General features: G+C 36.8%; 1 protein-coding gene across 35 annotated transcripts in view; it reads right to left on the bottom strand.

Annotated features, from left to right (window-relative positions):
* Positions 1-17,126, bottom strand: part of TUSC3 (tumor suppressor candidate 3) — a 434,904-nt gene that overhangs the window by 166,478 nt on the left and 251,300 nt on the right. For 34 of the 35 annotated variants that reach the window (NR_182196.1, NR_182195.1, NR_182199.1 and 31 more), the window contains one exon: positions 11,778-11,867. Coding sequence is in view for 30 of the 35 variants with exons in the window: in NM_001413670.1 (NP_001400599.1) it covers positions 11,778-11,867 (90 nt within the window). In the remaining 5 variants the exon portion in view is untranslated. Of the gene's footprint in view, positions 1-9,363; positions 9,892-11,777; positions 11,868-17,126 lie in introns of those variants that run through there. The other variant, NM_001413687.1, reaches the window with a different exon arrangement.

Genomic DNA, 17,126 nt, shown 5'->3' with positions numbered 1-17,126 from the left:
GAGGACTGCAGTGAATACCACTTTTGAAAAATACAATTCAAAACACAGGCCCTGTTGACAGAGCATCAATAATAAACTTTCTGTTAAGGGAACAAATTATCTATCCAACTGTTTAAGAATTTTTAAAATCTTCAAGATGTCTAGAAACAGCCGGGAACTGTCCACCAAGAGGAACCAAAATATCAAATAAACCATCACACTCTGAATAAAGATTTTGTGAGAAAGCATCAAGTCAATAGAGAAGAGATGGACACTGTGATTAAAGAGGGAGGAAGCCAGGAAGCCACTCAGAGTCGCTGGGCACTAGGACCGGCCTCCTGTACTGAACCAGACCTGAGGAAGCGGTGAGTGAAGGAATTTCGGCAGCACACTCCCACCACATACCTCTGGGATCCCAGCTACAGGTTTCCCAAGACCCCCAAAGACCTCTGAACCGGCAGGGAAGCCACTCAGAGAATAGGCAGAAGCACAGCTCAAACTTGCATGCACCCCCAAATGTTTCACTACGCAGTGCAGCTCCAGCAAAATGTGACCAAAGGTGTTCACGCCCCGAGGTGTGCCATGCTGTACTGAGTGGCTGTAGCTACTGCTGTCTGCTAGGCTGCAAGAGAGCAGGGCCACCATTGCCACAGGACTGGGGTGCATCTGATCCATGTAACCCCGTGGCCCCTCCTAAGCCTGCCTGCCTGAACGATCTTGCAGAAGTGTGCCCACAGCACAGCCTCCATTGCCCCATCTGAGTGTTTTGCTGGAGGTCTAGGAGCAGTCTGCTCTCCTGCAGCACAGCTGCTGCTTTACATCCAGGGGCTAGAGAACAAACCCCTGGATCTGGTCCCAACTCCCCAGGACTTGACCACACCACCCAGGGATACCAAGCTGCAGATCTGTGGCCTTAGCTTGAGTGGGGAAGCAGCCCTCAATCTCAGAACACAGAGAAGACTGTGGCATGGGCTCATGTGCTGACATCAGAGCTGGGCATCCCTCCTTTCATAAGACCAGTCCGGGAGGAACGCAGCCTGACAGCCAGCTGCAGCTTCTTCCCCAGGGAGTCCCAAGGCATCAAATGCCTAGAACAGTGATCTAGGTGCAGAAGGCTTACGACAAGCTTAGCCGGTTGGGCCTGCTCCTGGTGCAGACACTGGCGGGAGACCCACCAGGTCAGGAGAACTCAAGCCTCTTGGGCTGCCAGGCTGAAAATATACCAGTTGTACACACGGTGCCACTGCCCTGGTCAGGATCCTCTGCCCTTCCTCTACTGCATCACCAGACCACCAGTGAACACACTCCACAACTCACTCTGACTCTGGCAAATACAGAGGAACAGTGGGTTCCCAAGGAGTTGTGACTCTCTTGGACTGCTCTATGGGAGGCAGAAGCACAGCCCATTAGAGCCTGCCCCCCACCCACCCCTGGGGCAAGGTAAACATTGGAAAGGCACCAGTAGTTGAATGGGTTACCACCAAATCTCAGAAACCAGAGAGGCAGTCATATATGGCCCCCGCCTTCCCTCCCCAGAGCACTACGGTGAATGCAGTGAAATACTAAAGTGGAGAGCACGACTAAGATCCTATTTTCAGGCCCTTATCTCTTAAGTGTCAGCTGGTGGACTGCACTCTGAATTACACCACCAAACAAAACCACATTGCTTCAGCACTCAGAGCCTGTGAAACCCACCACAGGAACCTATTTACAACCAAAGAAACCATACAAAGTCTTGGCCATATGAAAGTACTCAGAAACGAAGCCAGCTGACTATACACACCATATACCATAGTCAAACCTTCAAGGAAAAAAGAACATAAAAATAAAAAGCCCCAACAAAACAACAGCAAATTCAAAAAGAAAAAGAAGCACCAGTTCCTTCTGAGAAGGAATCAGTGCAGGAAGTACAAGAATTGAAAAAGTCAGTGTTTTGTAATATCCAAAGGATTGCACTAGCTCCCTAACAATCGATCCTAACCAGGATGAAATGTCTGAAATTAAAGATATAAATTCAGAACCTGGACGGCAAAGAAGCTCAATGAGATACAAGAGGAAGCTGAACTCCAATCCAAGGAAGTCAGAAAAGCAATCCAAAATTTGAAATACAACAAAGATATAGTAAGAAAGAAACAAACTAAACTTCTGGAATTGAGAAATCCACCATAGGAATTTCAAATTACAGTTGGAAGTCTTAACAATAGACTAGATCAAGCAGAAGAAACAATTTCAGAGCCTGAACATCACTCCTTCAAATCAACCCAGTCAGATAAAAATAAAGAAAAAATAATTTTAAGAAATGAACAAAGCCTCTGAGAAATAAGAGATTGTGTAAAACAACCAAATCTATGATTCATTGTGCGTTCTTAAGAGAAAGCAGAAAACATGGAAAACATATTTGAGGATATAACCCACAAATATTTTCCCAATCTCGCTAGAGAAATGAAAGTGCAAATACAAGAAATGCAGAGATTCCCTGCAAGAAACTACCCAAGTTGACCATCCCCAAGGCAAATAGTCATCAGCCTTTCCAAGGTCAACGCAAAAGAAAAAATCTTAAAGGCAGCTAGAGAAAAGGGTCATATCACCTCTGAAGGGAACCTCATCAGGCTAACATAGTACTTCCTATCAGAAAACATACAAGCCAGAAGAGAATGGGGCCTGCTTTTAGAATTCTTCAAGAAACAAAATTCCAACCAAGAATTGCATCTCATGCCAAACTAAGCTGGTAAGTGAAAAAATAACGCCTTTCCCAGAGAATCAATCACTAAGAGAATTCATTACCACAAGACTGGCCTTACAACAGCTACAAAAAAAAAAAAAGAAAGTTCTAGACATGGAAACAAAAGAACAACAGCTGCCACCACAGAAACACACATAAGCACATGGCCCAGAGACTCTATAAAGCAAGTACACAATCAAGAATAAAAGTTAACCCAGCTAACACCACCACGATAGGAAGAAAACTTCACATATCAATATTAACGTTGAATGTAAACAGTCTAAATGCTCCACTTAATAGACACACAGGGGAAAACTGCATTAAAATATGTTCCGTCTCCAATAGATCCATTTCACATGTAACAATACTCACAGGCTCAAAGTAATGGAAAACGATCTAACACTCAAATGAAAAACCAAACAGAGCAGAGGTTGTACTTACACGAGATAAAAGTGACTTTAAAACGACAACAGTTAAAAAAGGACAAAGAAGGTAATTACATAATGATAAAGAGTTCGATTCATCCAGAAGACTTAAGTATCTTAAATATATATGAATCCAAAATTAGAGCACCCAGATTCATAAAACATTCATAAAAAAATTCTAGACTTACAAAAAGACTTGGACAGGCACACAATAATAGTGGGGAATGTCGAGACCCCACTCACAGCATTAGACAGATAACTGAGGCAGAAAATTAACAAAGAAATTCTGAACTTAAATTCAATGCAATGGACCTAACTGACATCTACAGAATACTCCACACAACAACTGCAGAATAAACATTCTTCTCATCTGAACATGAAACATACTCGAAGATCAATCACATCCTTGGTCACAAAGTAAATCTTAATAAATTCAAAACAATCAAAATCATACCAAGCATATTCTCAGATCACAGTGGAATAAAAATAGAAATTAATATCAAGAGGAAATCTCAAAAACACAAAATTACATAGTAACTAAACAACTTGCTCCTGAATGATTTTTGGGTAAATAGCAAATTAAGACAGAAAACAAAAAATTCTTTGAATCAAATGACAGCAAAGATACAACATACCAAAATCTTTGGGATACAGTAAAAGCAATATTAAGAGAAATGTTTATAGTGTTAAATACCTAGATCAAGAAGACAAAAATCTCAACAGTCTAACATCAAAGCTAGAGAAATCAGAAAAACAAGAAAAAACTAGCCCAAAAGGTAGCAGACAAAAATAAATAACTAAAATCAGAGCATAATTGAATGAAATTGAAGCCCAGAAATCCATATAAAGAATCAATGAAACCAAAAGTTGGTTCTTTGAAAGGATAAACAAGATCGAAAGACTACTGGCTAATAAAGAAAAAAAAAAAGAGAAAAGATCCAAATAAGCACAATCGGAAATGACAAAGGTGACATTACAACTGATGCCACAGAAATAAAAAAGATACTCGGCACTATATTAATACCTTGTTGCACAAAAACTAGAAAATCTAGAGTAAATGGATGAATTCCTGGAAACATACACTCTTCCAAGACTGAATCAGGAAGAAACTGAAACCCTGAACAGACAAATACTGACTTCTGAAATTGAATCAGTAATAAAAAACCTACTAACCAAAAAAAGCCCTGGACCAGATGTATTCAGATGAATTCCATAAAATATATAAAGAAGAACTGGTACCAATCCTACTGAAACTATTCCAAAAAAAAAGGAGGACGGAATCCTCAGATGAATTCAAGATGGATAATAAAGAAGAGCTGACATCAATTTTACTGAAACTATTCCAAAAAAAAAAAAAAATCAAGGATGAAGGAATCCTCCCTAACACGTTCTATGTAGCCAGCAGCACCGATATCAAAACCTGGCAAAGACACAACAACAAAAATTTACACACCAATATCACTAAGGAACATAGATGTAAAAATCCTCAACAAAATATTATTATAGCAAATTGAATCCAACAGCACATTCAAAGGTTTAATTCACTATAATCAAGGAGGTTTCATTTCTGGGATGCCAAGTTGGTTCAACATACACAAATCAATAAATGTAATACACCACATAAACATAATTAAAAACAAAACCATATCATCACAATAGGCACAGAAAAAGCTTTCAATAATGTCCAGCATCTGTTCATGATAAAAATCCTCAAACACATCAAAGGAATATACTTCAAAATAGTAAGAGTCATCTATGACAAACCCACAGGCAACATCATACTCAACAGGAGGCAAAAGCTGGAACCATTCTCCCTGAGAACTGGAACAAGACAAGGATGTCCACTCTCTACTACTATTCAGCATAGTACTGGAAGTCTTCATGAGAGCAACAAGGCAAGAAAAAGAAACAGAAGACATCCAAATAGGAAAAGAATAAGTCAAAGTATCTCTCTTTGCAGACTATATGATTCTGTATCTAGAAAACCCTAAATACTCTACCAAAAGGCTTTATAAACGATTTCAGTAAAGTTTCAGGAATCAATCTATGAAAATTAGTAGCATTTCTAAAACACCAATAACGTTCAAGTCAAGAACCAAATCAAGAACACATTCTTATTCACAACTGCCACAAACATACACACACACATACACACACAAATTACCTAGGCACACATGTAACCAAAGAGGTGAAAGATCTCTATAAGGACAACTACAAAACACTGCTGAAATAAATCATAGATGACACAAATAAATGGAAAACCAACCCATGCTCATGGATTGGAAGGCTCACTATCATTAAAATCGCCATTCTGCCCAAAGCAATCTACGGGTTCAGTACTATTCCTCTCAATTTATCATGATTTTTCACAGAACTAGAAAAAAAAAAGCTATTCTAAAATTCATGTGGAACCCAAACAGAGAACAAATAGCCAAGGTAATCCTAAGCAAAAATAACAAAGCTGGAGGGATATTACCCAACATCAAACTATACTACAAAGCAACAGTAACCAAAACAGCATGGTATTGGTACAAAAATAGACATGCAGACCAATGGAACACAATAGACGACCCAGAAGTAAAGTTACACATCTACAACCACCTGATCTTTGACAAAGTCTACACAAACAATGGGGAATAAACACCTATTCAATAAATGGTGCTGGAGTAACTGGCTAGCCATATGCAAAAGAATGAAACTCGATCCCTAGCTTTCCATATATACAAAATTAACTCAAGATGGATTAAAGACTTAAAAATACCTAAAACTATAAAAACCCTAGATGAAAACCTAAGAAATATCCTTTTGGACACTGGCATAGGCAAACATTTTATGACTAAGTCTTCAAAAGCAACTGCAAATAAAACAAAAATTGACAAGTGGAACCTAATTATACTGAAGAGCTTCTACACAGCAAAAGGAACTATCAATTGAGTAAATTGACAACCTACACAACAGGAGAAAATACAAACTATGTATCTGATAAAGGACTAATATCCAGAATCTATAAGGAACTTAAAAAACTTAAGCAAAAAATAACCCCATTAAAAAGTGGGCAAAGGATATGAACTGATACGTGTCAAAAGAAAACATGCAAGTGGTCAATAAACATGAAAAAATGCTCATCAACACTAATCATCAGAGAAACGCCAATCAAAACTACAATGAGACACCATTTCCCACAAGTCAGAACGGCTATTACAGAAAAGTCAAAAAAAAAAGATGCTTCCAAGGCTGTGGAGAAAAGGGAATGCTTATACACCACTGCTGGGAATGTAAATTAGTTCAGCCACTGTGGAAAGTACTTTGGAGATTTTTCAAGGAACTAAAATTAGAACTGCCATTCTACCTAGCAATCTCGTTACTGGGTATATACATAAAAGAAAATAAACAGTTCTACCAAAAAGACACATGTACTTGTATGTTCACTGTAGCGTTATTCACAATAGCAAAGACATTAAATCAACCTAGGTGCTCATCCACGGTGAATTAAATAAAGAAAATACGGTACATATACACCAAGGAATACTATGCAGCACAATAAAATCATGTCCTCCAAATCAACATGAATGCAGCTAGAGGTGCAAATTCACACAGAAACAGAAAACCAAATATTTTATGTTCTCACAAGTGGGAGCTAAACCTTGGGTGCATACGAACATATACATTAGAACAACAGATGCTACGGACTCCAAAAAGAGGGAGTGAGGGAAGGAGGCCAAAAGCTGAAAAAATTCCTATCTGTGTGATGGCCTCAGTAATGCCCAGTCCTCAGCATCACACAATATACTCTTGTAACAACCTGCACATGTACTCCATCAATTTAAAATTTTTAAAAAGACTTGTTAAAATGTGAAATAAAGACAAAATTTCCTATAGAGATAGATGTTCTTAAATATGCGTACATTTTTCTACTTTATTCTGAAGGATTGTTTACAAGACATATGATATTGGCTTAAAAATAAAACTATATTTAATTGATGAGACTTTTATTTGTTGCTTTTTTTCCAGGGCATATCTCGAAATAAAACCAATACCCAATGTGGTTTTTTCATTATTTTTTTCCTCTCCTTTGGAATCTACTAAAAAAAAATAAACTGATATAAATTGTAGTAAATACAGTCTATGAGTAGTATACTACCCATATTTCTTTGCCCTTAATGCCTTAGTGTGTTCCAGCCTGACTTCCACCACCAGCACCTGCATTTCTTTGACTAGATGGCTTTCTTTGACAGACAAAGTCCACCAGTGCTGGAGAAGTAATAACTTTGCCAAGAGAACAGCACTCAGCAAATGGCTGATGAGATCTGGCGTATATATACCTCAGCTCCCTTACCACTGTAGTAGGAAAGTTGACATACATGCCCTACACAGGCTCCCAGAGATCTCATAGCAGAAATAAGGTTCAGTGGCTCACAATACTGACTGGATAAACATGTTTTTTGACTGCTTTCCTTCCTAGACTCAGTTTCCCTCTCTTCTCCCATGTTTCCTTAACCTCCAATATGAACTTCTTTCACTTAAATCACTGTCTTTGGATCTGTTCTGAAAGGACTTCAAAATAAGACACGTGTGTTTTCAACTTTTAAAAGTGCTTATGCAGACGAGGCCTCTCCAACCAGTGGATGTCTCTGTCTTTCTCTTTCTGTTCCTCCCACCCATGGCACCCTTCTTAGTGCCTCCAGCATCTGCCTATCTTACTACTCCCCACCTTTCCTGCCCCTGCACTAAGCCTACTGCTGGCTTGGCCCTGGTAGCTATGTGTCATAGAACCTGGCTCTGTCTGACACCACCTTCCCTCTTTGCCTTATGGCACTGCTATCTACCAGTTTTGTGCTGATATGGGCATGGACAGAGCCATTCTCAGCCCTGTATTTATTATCAGATTTTATCTACCAAAAACTACAAACTAAGAAAAGCAGAATTCAACTCATTTTACAGAAGAAGAACAGAGAGAATAAGTAACTTCCCCAAAAAAGACAGACCTGGTAAGAGTCAGAGTTTGGAAAAGAACCCTGCTCTGTTTTCTTTCTGTTTCTCTTTGCCTGCACACTTCAGGACAAAGGCATAAAAATGTCTCTGTGAGCCAGAGTCTTTACTTTCTCTTATCAAAATCTCTTTGTAAGCATATAAAATGTCACAGATTAAATCATATTTACTAACGCATAGTAAAAGAAAACCCATTTACAGATGGGCACAGTGGCTCAGGCCTGTAATCCGAGAACTCAGGGAGGCCAATGCAGGAGAGCTGCTTGAGTCCAGGAGTTCAAGACCACCCTGGACAACACAGTGAGACCCTATTTCTTGGGGAAAAACAAAGGCCAGGCACAGTGTCCGAGGTACTTAGGGCACTGAGGCAGGAGGATCACTTGAGCCAGGAGTTCAAGGCTGCGGTGAGCTATGATCGTACCACTGCACCAAGGTGACAGAGTGAGACCCTAACTCTATAAAATAAAATTTTAAAAAATTAAAAAAATAAACATTTACAAACCAATCATATTTACTGATGACTTTCAATATATACAACCATCCTAAACATTAAATGTAGGTCACCATGATCCTAAGCTCTAGCTATTTCAGTTTTTCAAATTTTCTCCTTTTTGCAGAAAAAGAAAATCCTTCTTTGGGGTTATATGCTAGATGGATTAGTTTTCTTAGCTGCAAAATATGCAGGAAGTCAAAATTACATCTAAGTTTCTCTAGGCTTCTCACTTTCAATACTCTGATATTTGGAGCTGGATGATTTTCTTAATTGGGTATAGGAGGCTGTCCTTTGTATTTTAGGTGTTTAGCAGCATTCCTGGCCTCTACCACTAACTGCCAGTAGTCGGTAGTTGCCCTGAAAGTTGAGACAATCTAAAATGTATCCAGACACTACCAAATGTCCGCTGGAAAATGTCCCCTGGAACAACCCAGGAAATACCATTCTGGACACTGGCCTTGGCAAAGCATTTATGGATAAGACCTCAAAAGCAATCTAAACAAAATAAAAAATAGTCAAGTGGGACCTAATTAAACTAAAAGGCTTTGGCACAGCAAAAGAAACTATCAACAGACTAAAAAGACACCCTACAGAATAGGAGAAAACATTTACAAACTATGTACCTGACAAAGGTCTAATATCCAGAATCTATAAGCAACTTAAATCAACAATCAGAAAATAAATAACCCCATTAAAAAGCAGGCAAAGACATGAACAGACACTTCTGAAAAGAAGACAGATAAGCGGGCAACAAATATATGCAAAGATGCTCCACACATCATACATTTAATTTCTAATAATTTAATTACATACATTTAATTTCTAATCATCAGAGAAATGCAAATTAAAATCACAATGAGATATCATTTCACACCAGTCAGAATGGCTGTTTTTTAAAAGTCAAAACATAATAGATGCTGGCAAGGCTGTGTAGAAAACGGAACACATACACTGCTGGTGGGAATGTAAATTAGTACAATTATAATGGAAAACAACATGGAGATGTCTCAAAGAACTTAAGATAGAACTACCGTTCGACCCAGCGATCCATTGCTGGTATATACCCAAAGGAAAATAAATTGTTCTACAAAAAAGACACATACACTTGTATGTTCATTGCAGCATTATTCTCAATACCAAAGATATGGAAGCAACTGAGGTGTCCATCCACAGTGTGGATAAAGAAAATGTGGTACATATACAACAGGGAATACTATACAGCCATAAAAAAGAATGAACTCATGTCCTTTGCAGCAATATGGATGCAGCTGGAGGCCATTATCCTAAGCAAATTAACAGAAAAAGAAAATCAAGTACTGCACGTTCTTATAAGTAGGAGCTAAACATTGGATAAACATGGACACAAAGATGGGAGCAGACACTGCAGCCTATTAGAGGGTAGAGGAGGAAGGGGCTGAAAAACTACCTATTTGGTACTATACTCAGTACTTCGGTGACAAGATCATTCATACCCCAATCCTTAGTATTATGCAATGTACCAATGTAACTAACCTGCACAGGTATCCCCTAACCTAAAATAAAAGTTCTAACAACCAAAGAAAAAAAAAAGTCTGAAACCCTCCCAAAAAAAAAGAATACAATATGTTAAAACATTTCATAAGAATGTTGAATAACTTTTCGTATACTTTAACAAACCATAAACAATAATGAAAAGCAATGCCTTAATATGTTTTATACCTAAAGAATACTCTTAGAAGAATACTAAAAGGCAGTAACAAAAATTTATAAGATTTCCTAAATTTACAACGTTAAGTGTCATTAACACGACAGCGATCAGATCTTTGCATCAGGCCCTTCTTTATGTAACAGAAATGTATCAGTGACAAAACCTGATAAAATCCATTCTTTCAGAAGCTTATCTATTACTAGGGTCATGGCAAAAGGCAAACGGACAAAATAACACATTCGATAAATTATGTAGCATACTGTAAGGTGACAAGTACTGTGGAGAAAAAATAAAACAGGAGAGGGAGACAGAGTATAGGGACCAGGGAGGAGGAAGAGAGGAAAGGGCTAACTTTAAATAGTGTCGTCAGGAAGGATCTTGTTGGGAAGCCAGCATTTGTGTGAAAAATTAAAGGTAAGGGAATAATTTATTGCTCTAAAATTGCTTCCAATTATTTTTCTTTGTATAACTGAATTTTGAATATTGAAGACTTTCTGAAATTACTCTTCTAAATAATGCCAGATTTTAAAAACATATAAATATAGCAAAAACTATGTCTAACTTATTATGGCAACCAATTATTCAAAGAGGCTAGCTTTAACTCCATATCCTTGTCTTCCACTACAGAAATCTGAAAATGTTCCCAAAAATATGGGCCCAAATTGATTATTATATAGTAATAATAATTATTTTATTATTAGCAGGTGGACAGAAAGAAAGATGAAACAAGAATAGTTATGAGATGAGAGCTGAAAAAGTCTAGTGATGGGTACAAGAAGCCATGCCATTATATTATTCTCAAAATACGTATCTTTTCCAAAAGAAAAAGCAGAAAAGGTTAGAGAAAAAACGAAAAACTGTTCATCTTCACTATCCTAATACTGTCTCAAAGACAGTATGTTTCTATGTTGATTTATCACAGTATTTCCTATTCACCAAACGTAAAGAGAAGGCAACAAACTCAGTTATGTGAATTCGGTGGCAGTTACTAACGTAAACTCTGCTACTAATGTAACAACATATCAATTTCACTTTTAATTCTGTGGCAAAGAGTTCCTAACATTCTAATACAATGACCACCCGGGTTCTTAATAATGTCTTAATCCCTTCTGAAGAAAATTAAATTTACCATGGATGGGAGGGACATTGGCTATAAACTATTCCGATTTCCTCTAGTGGGGTTACATGTTATCGCCATAGCAGCAGATAAACTTGAAAAAATAGTGAATGCATGTATATTTGATATGGTAGATATTAATTTTTTAAATCAACACTAAAGCAGCCCTCATCCTAACAAAAGTAATATTGTGTGTGTGTGTGTATGCACATGTGTATATAGGTGACACAGGTAGTAAATGAGAAAGAATATATATTTTGACTGACAAACAGAATCTTTTCCTACTAAATACTAAACATAATTTCTTATTCCTAAATTAAGCTGGATTAAACTTCAGAATATTCATGCTTATAAATTACACTTACCACTTGTCCATTGTGTGGGTTCTTATGAGCATATGGAGGTCCACGGATATGGTTCCACATCTGGCCAGAAGTCATAGCAAAGACTATACACTGAAAAACAGGGTGCAGTGTTTCAATATGTAAACCAGAGAATACCAGAATAATGCATTTCTAAAAGACAATGGTCATCATGAAAGTATCTTTTAAAAATCATGTATCAGCTCACACATTTTAAAAAATTTCACTTATTAACTATGGGACTTTGAGTAAGTTACTTATTCTCCCTGCATCTCAGATTCCGTATCTATAAAATTGGTATGCCAGCTCTGTTAAAGAAATATGTTAATAATTACATCGGATAACATATGTAAAGCATCTGGCCTGGTGACAGGCAATCTGATACTATGTGCTCACCTGAGCCAGTCAGAAGCACAGATGAGACACTTGATGTTCTAGTGATATTTTAAAGGACATGATAATCATCTTCTATATCCTCTAAACATCATTCTTCTATTAGTTTGGATAACCAAAACCCTACATTCTTGGATTACGGTACTTAAATCTCCGTAAGTACCTAAATACTTTCAGCAAAGTTTACGACACAGTAAATTCAGAAGATGTTTAGAGATGGAAGAAATCACAAAAAGACATAGCCAGGAATAACTCGCAAAGATTATATACCTGCTGAATATATCAGACAAAGCTGTAGTTGGAAAACTAATATTGAAGATCCAAGGTATTGCAGAGAGGGTGGGGAGAGAATGCATAAACCAGAAGTCACAGTTCAATCAGTATAACTGAGGTGTCAGCATGTTTTGTTTAAATCACAAAATATTTTAAAGTTAATGAACTGGGACTCCTTTAGACTAAATGTGTTCTCTAGGTTAAAACAGTACCTGTACTTCCTGCTATCCTATAACTTGCCCAATCACTCCTTACTTCAGCTTCCTGGCTCTGATAGGCATTTGTACCAAAAATAACAATAAAAACACCAAAAACACCAAAGACAAGAACGAGCAATGCACGACTGGGAGTCTAAATATTCTAGTTTGCACAATTTTTTAAAGGAGAAAACAAGGATACAAAAGGGAAGAAGATGGGGCAAATAAAAAACGATATCTAAACCCAGAAATTAGAGAGAATCTAAGAAGTCTCACTTTTTTTGGCTATAAAAATATGTAACCAACTAAGATATTCACAAACAGGAGTATCTACCCAAGAACCTTCTGTGCTCTTAAGACCTACCACTGGTATGTTTAAAGTACCTTGCCTAGAATTTTATCATAATACTTGGGAATGGAGGCTTATAAATTATAATACTCGAGTTGCAGATGTATCTTCAGCACCTGTGCAACCTTGAGCAAGTCCATTGCTTTGGGCCTCAGTTTCCTATCTATAGCATGAGGATAATATTGGTAGCAATCTTTCTAAACTGCAAGGGTTTTAAGTAGGTTAATCCATGTAGAGCATTTAAACATTGAGCAAGTCCATTGCTTTGGGCCTCAGTTTCCTGTCTATAGCATGAGGATAATATTGGTATCAATCTTTCTAAACCGCAGGGGTTTTAAGTAGGTTAATCCATGTAGAGCATTTAAAAATTGCACACAATACACAAGCTCAATAAATATTATTATTCCAAATCCCCCCACAATTTGCTCCCATACTCCTTAAATAGCTCCATGTCCTACCGCTCCTTAACTGGCACTGCATGCTCCATTCAGGCCACTCTTCTTGCTTCCCCCTGCATCCATGATGGTAATGCCTGCATCCACATCTTGTTCATGCTATGTCAACCCAGTCAATCTCTAAAACAGGGTTAACTCATGGCCCATAAATGGTTCTCCATGGAACCTTTCCAGTTTATTTTACTCATTTGACAATTACTTACTGGAGGCACTATTGTATAACAGGTATGTTACTGGACTCTAGAGATGTAAGAATGAATAAGATAAAGAGGCTTGCCATCCTCAGCTAGAAATCCTGAATAAGTGACATGTCCCCTGACATAAAAAAAAGTATCATTTATTCATACAAGGTTTATTCACCAAGAGCTTACTATATATTTAAGAACTAATTTAGAAGCTGAGGATAAAGCGATGAACAAAAACATGAGACAGAAAACTGTCATTAGGAAGCTTACATTCTACATGGAGGAAAAGAGGCAATAGCAGCAACAATACTATTTACGGTATGTCACCAGTTTAAAAAATCATCTTAATACATAATTAATCAAGATTCCAGGAAATGGTTTAATAAAACAAAACCAGGTTCAAACCTGGAATAATACACAGAATCATCTGAAGTAGTGGCAAATGTATTTACTCACATAGCGCTGGCACTTTTCATAAGAAACAACAAAACACTGAGTAACATGCACTTCTAAAATGCAAAATAGCCTAGGTTTCAGTTTATCAAAATTCTCATAACTGATGCATCCTTTTTTGGTTGTTAACAACTGATATGTCACCATTTCATTACTTTCAGCAATCTGGAAGTTTTAATTTTGCAATCAATTTGACTAAAATATTTTTATTTAACTATATTCATACAAAAAAGGGCATGATTCATAGTTACAGCTAGATTAATTTTCACAAAACACACTAACAGAAAGACAGGAGCTCTCTTGTGTCTCTTCCTAATCATAATCTACATAACCTGCCCAAGGTAAGAAACATTTTCTTGAAAATTCTGTATCACAGAGTATGTAAATACTCAGCTTTAGCAGATAAAACCAAACACATTTCTCAGGAGGTTGAACAAAATTTATATTCCAAATAACAGTACACGAGAGATCCACTTGATATCCATCTTTACCAATTATTGGTATTAGCTGTGAGCCTCTGTGTGTTCATTCTGGATCTTCTGGCAGAGGTATGATAGTGTCACACTGTCATTTTATTTGCATTTCCCTGATTAATAAGGTTGAATACCTTTTCATATATTAATTGAAATTTGGACATTTTTGTGAAGTACCCAGCAAGTCATTTACCTCTTTTAAAATTTCACTGTCTTATTCTTGTTTTGTCAAGATTCTTTATATTTCTGGGTACCAGTTCTTTGTTAAATATACACATGGCAAATAGTCCTCACCAAACATGAGGCTTGTCTTTCTTTTCATTTTATTAATGGTGTTTTTGACAAACAGAAGTTCTTAATTTTAATGTAGTTCAGTTTATCAATTATTTCTTCTATTATGGTTACCACTTCTTATGTTCTGTTTTAAGAAATCTTTGCCCACCCACCAATTATGGAGATACATATCCATGCTTTCTTCTAAAAGTGCTAATGTTCGCATTTTACTTTTAGATTCACGATTCCTCTTGTGTATGGTGGGAGGTAAAAGTTGAAATTCATCTTTTTCCCATATGGATATCCAGTTGGCTCGGCAATATTTATCAAAAATGCCATACTTACTCACTGCACTGCAAGGCCACTTTCGTTACAAATCAAGTGATTTTATAAGTGTGAGTATGTTTCTGGACTATAGATTCTGTTCCAGATGGCTTTATGTGAAATGAATAAATATTAAAGATCTATAATAAATGTTGATATCTGTAAGTGTAAGTTCTCCAGCATTATTCTTCCTTCATATTGTCTCAACTATTCTATTCATTACCCTCTGCTAAAATCTCATTGTCAATTTCCACAGAAAAAAATCTGCACAAATTCTACTCAAGATCAAGACGAGTATCTTTACAACGTTGAGTCTACCAATCCATTATCAGGTTTACCTGCCATTTAAGTTTTTAAAAAATTTATTTGAATAGATTTTTCAGTTTTCAGTGTGCATATCTTTTATTAGATTGATTCAAAACTTTTTGTGATGCTATGACAATAGATTTTTTTAAAACTTCCTTTTTTTATGATGCATTATGACATGAATCATCATTATTTACTATGTATTCATTAACCTTACCCAATTTACGAATTAGGTCTAATTTTTTTTTCTATGTACAAAATCAAATCATCTGCTAAGGAGGGCAATTTTATTTTTACCGGGATGTGTGTGGGTTTTTTGTTTTGGTCTTAATGCAATGCTCAGGGTCCCAGTAAAATACTCAAGAGCAGGCATCTTGTATTATTCCTTATCTCAGGAATTTTAGGAAGTTGCCAAATATGATGTTTACTGTATGTTTTTTAATCAGATTAAGGAAATTCCCTTCTATTTTGTTTTTTCTCTTATTCCCACATAAACACTGAACCTATTAAGTGCTGATATGCATGTATCAAAGATGATCATATTTTTTTGTTTATTAGCACAGAGAATTACACTGATAATTTTCACATGGTAAACCATTCTTGTATTAGTGAAATAACTTGACAATGTATTACCATTTTTATTTATTACTGTCTGTAATTTTTTTGTTTAGAATAAATGCATCTATATCCATGAGAAAGACTGGCCTATCAGTTTTCTATTTTTAAATGTCCCCGTCAGATTTTAGAATCAAAGTTAGTCTTGCTTCAGACAATAGAGGCACTTCCTCTTTTTTTATTCACAGAAAAGTTTACCTAAGGTGAGTATTATTCCGTCTCAATTGTTTAGAAGAGTTAGTCATCATGGAATGAAAGTTTTAGCAATGTTGGATTCAATTGTTTCAGCAATGGATTCAATCCATACTGGAGTATGAAGACTTTCTCATTCTTCTTGTGTTGGTTTTGTTTGCTGGTTTAAAGTTGTTCAACTTCCTTGATATTGTCAACCTTAATAGTGATGTGTTATCACCCTAATCTAATTGGGGAATGTACTGAGCCATGGCTGGATATGGCCCTGGCAAAGCTCTGTCTACATTTGATCTCAACCACTGAAGGTTTTCCAATAAGAGTCCAGTGGGTCCCAAATTGTAACTTCTAATTCACAAGATTGCAAAATACTCTACTCTGCTTTTTAGAAGCTTTCCACTTGGGAAACTTATCCATTTACCACCAGCATACATCCCGAGACTCGAGACTTGTGAAGTTTCTAACCAAAAACTCTGCTTATTTTTTTGTTTCTCCAGAGAACCAGACACTCAGGTATCTAAAGTTTCATACAGCATCATAAATGGTTCTTTTTGAACTCTGGCTTCAGGACAAAAGTGACACTAGACAATAATCCTGAAAAGAGTAAGAATAAAACAGCTACTCAGATATTTGTTGCAGTTAATTCAAAGAACACCCTCAAAGCTAGTCCTTTTGGAAGTATTTTGTTTTGGACATTTGTGTTTTCTTTGAGAGTCACAAATAATACCATCTTGGGACACCAAGATTTTGGACATATGTTCATCAAAGCATTTGTATGTTACTGATATACATATCTGATTTACCTTCCTCACTACACATGTAAGGTCCCTGTGGGCAGGGCTCACGTGCTAGTCTTTTTCACTTGTC

Source organism: Homo sapiens, chromosome 8, assembly GCF_000001405.40.
Source record: "Homo sapiens chromosome 8, GRCh38.p14 Primary Assembly".
NCBI lineage: Eukaryota > Metazoa > Chordata > Mammalia > Primates > Hominidae > Homo > Homo sapiens.
This window is presented reverse-complemented; position numbering and strand designations above follow the sequence as displayed.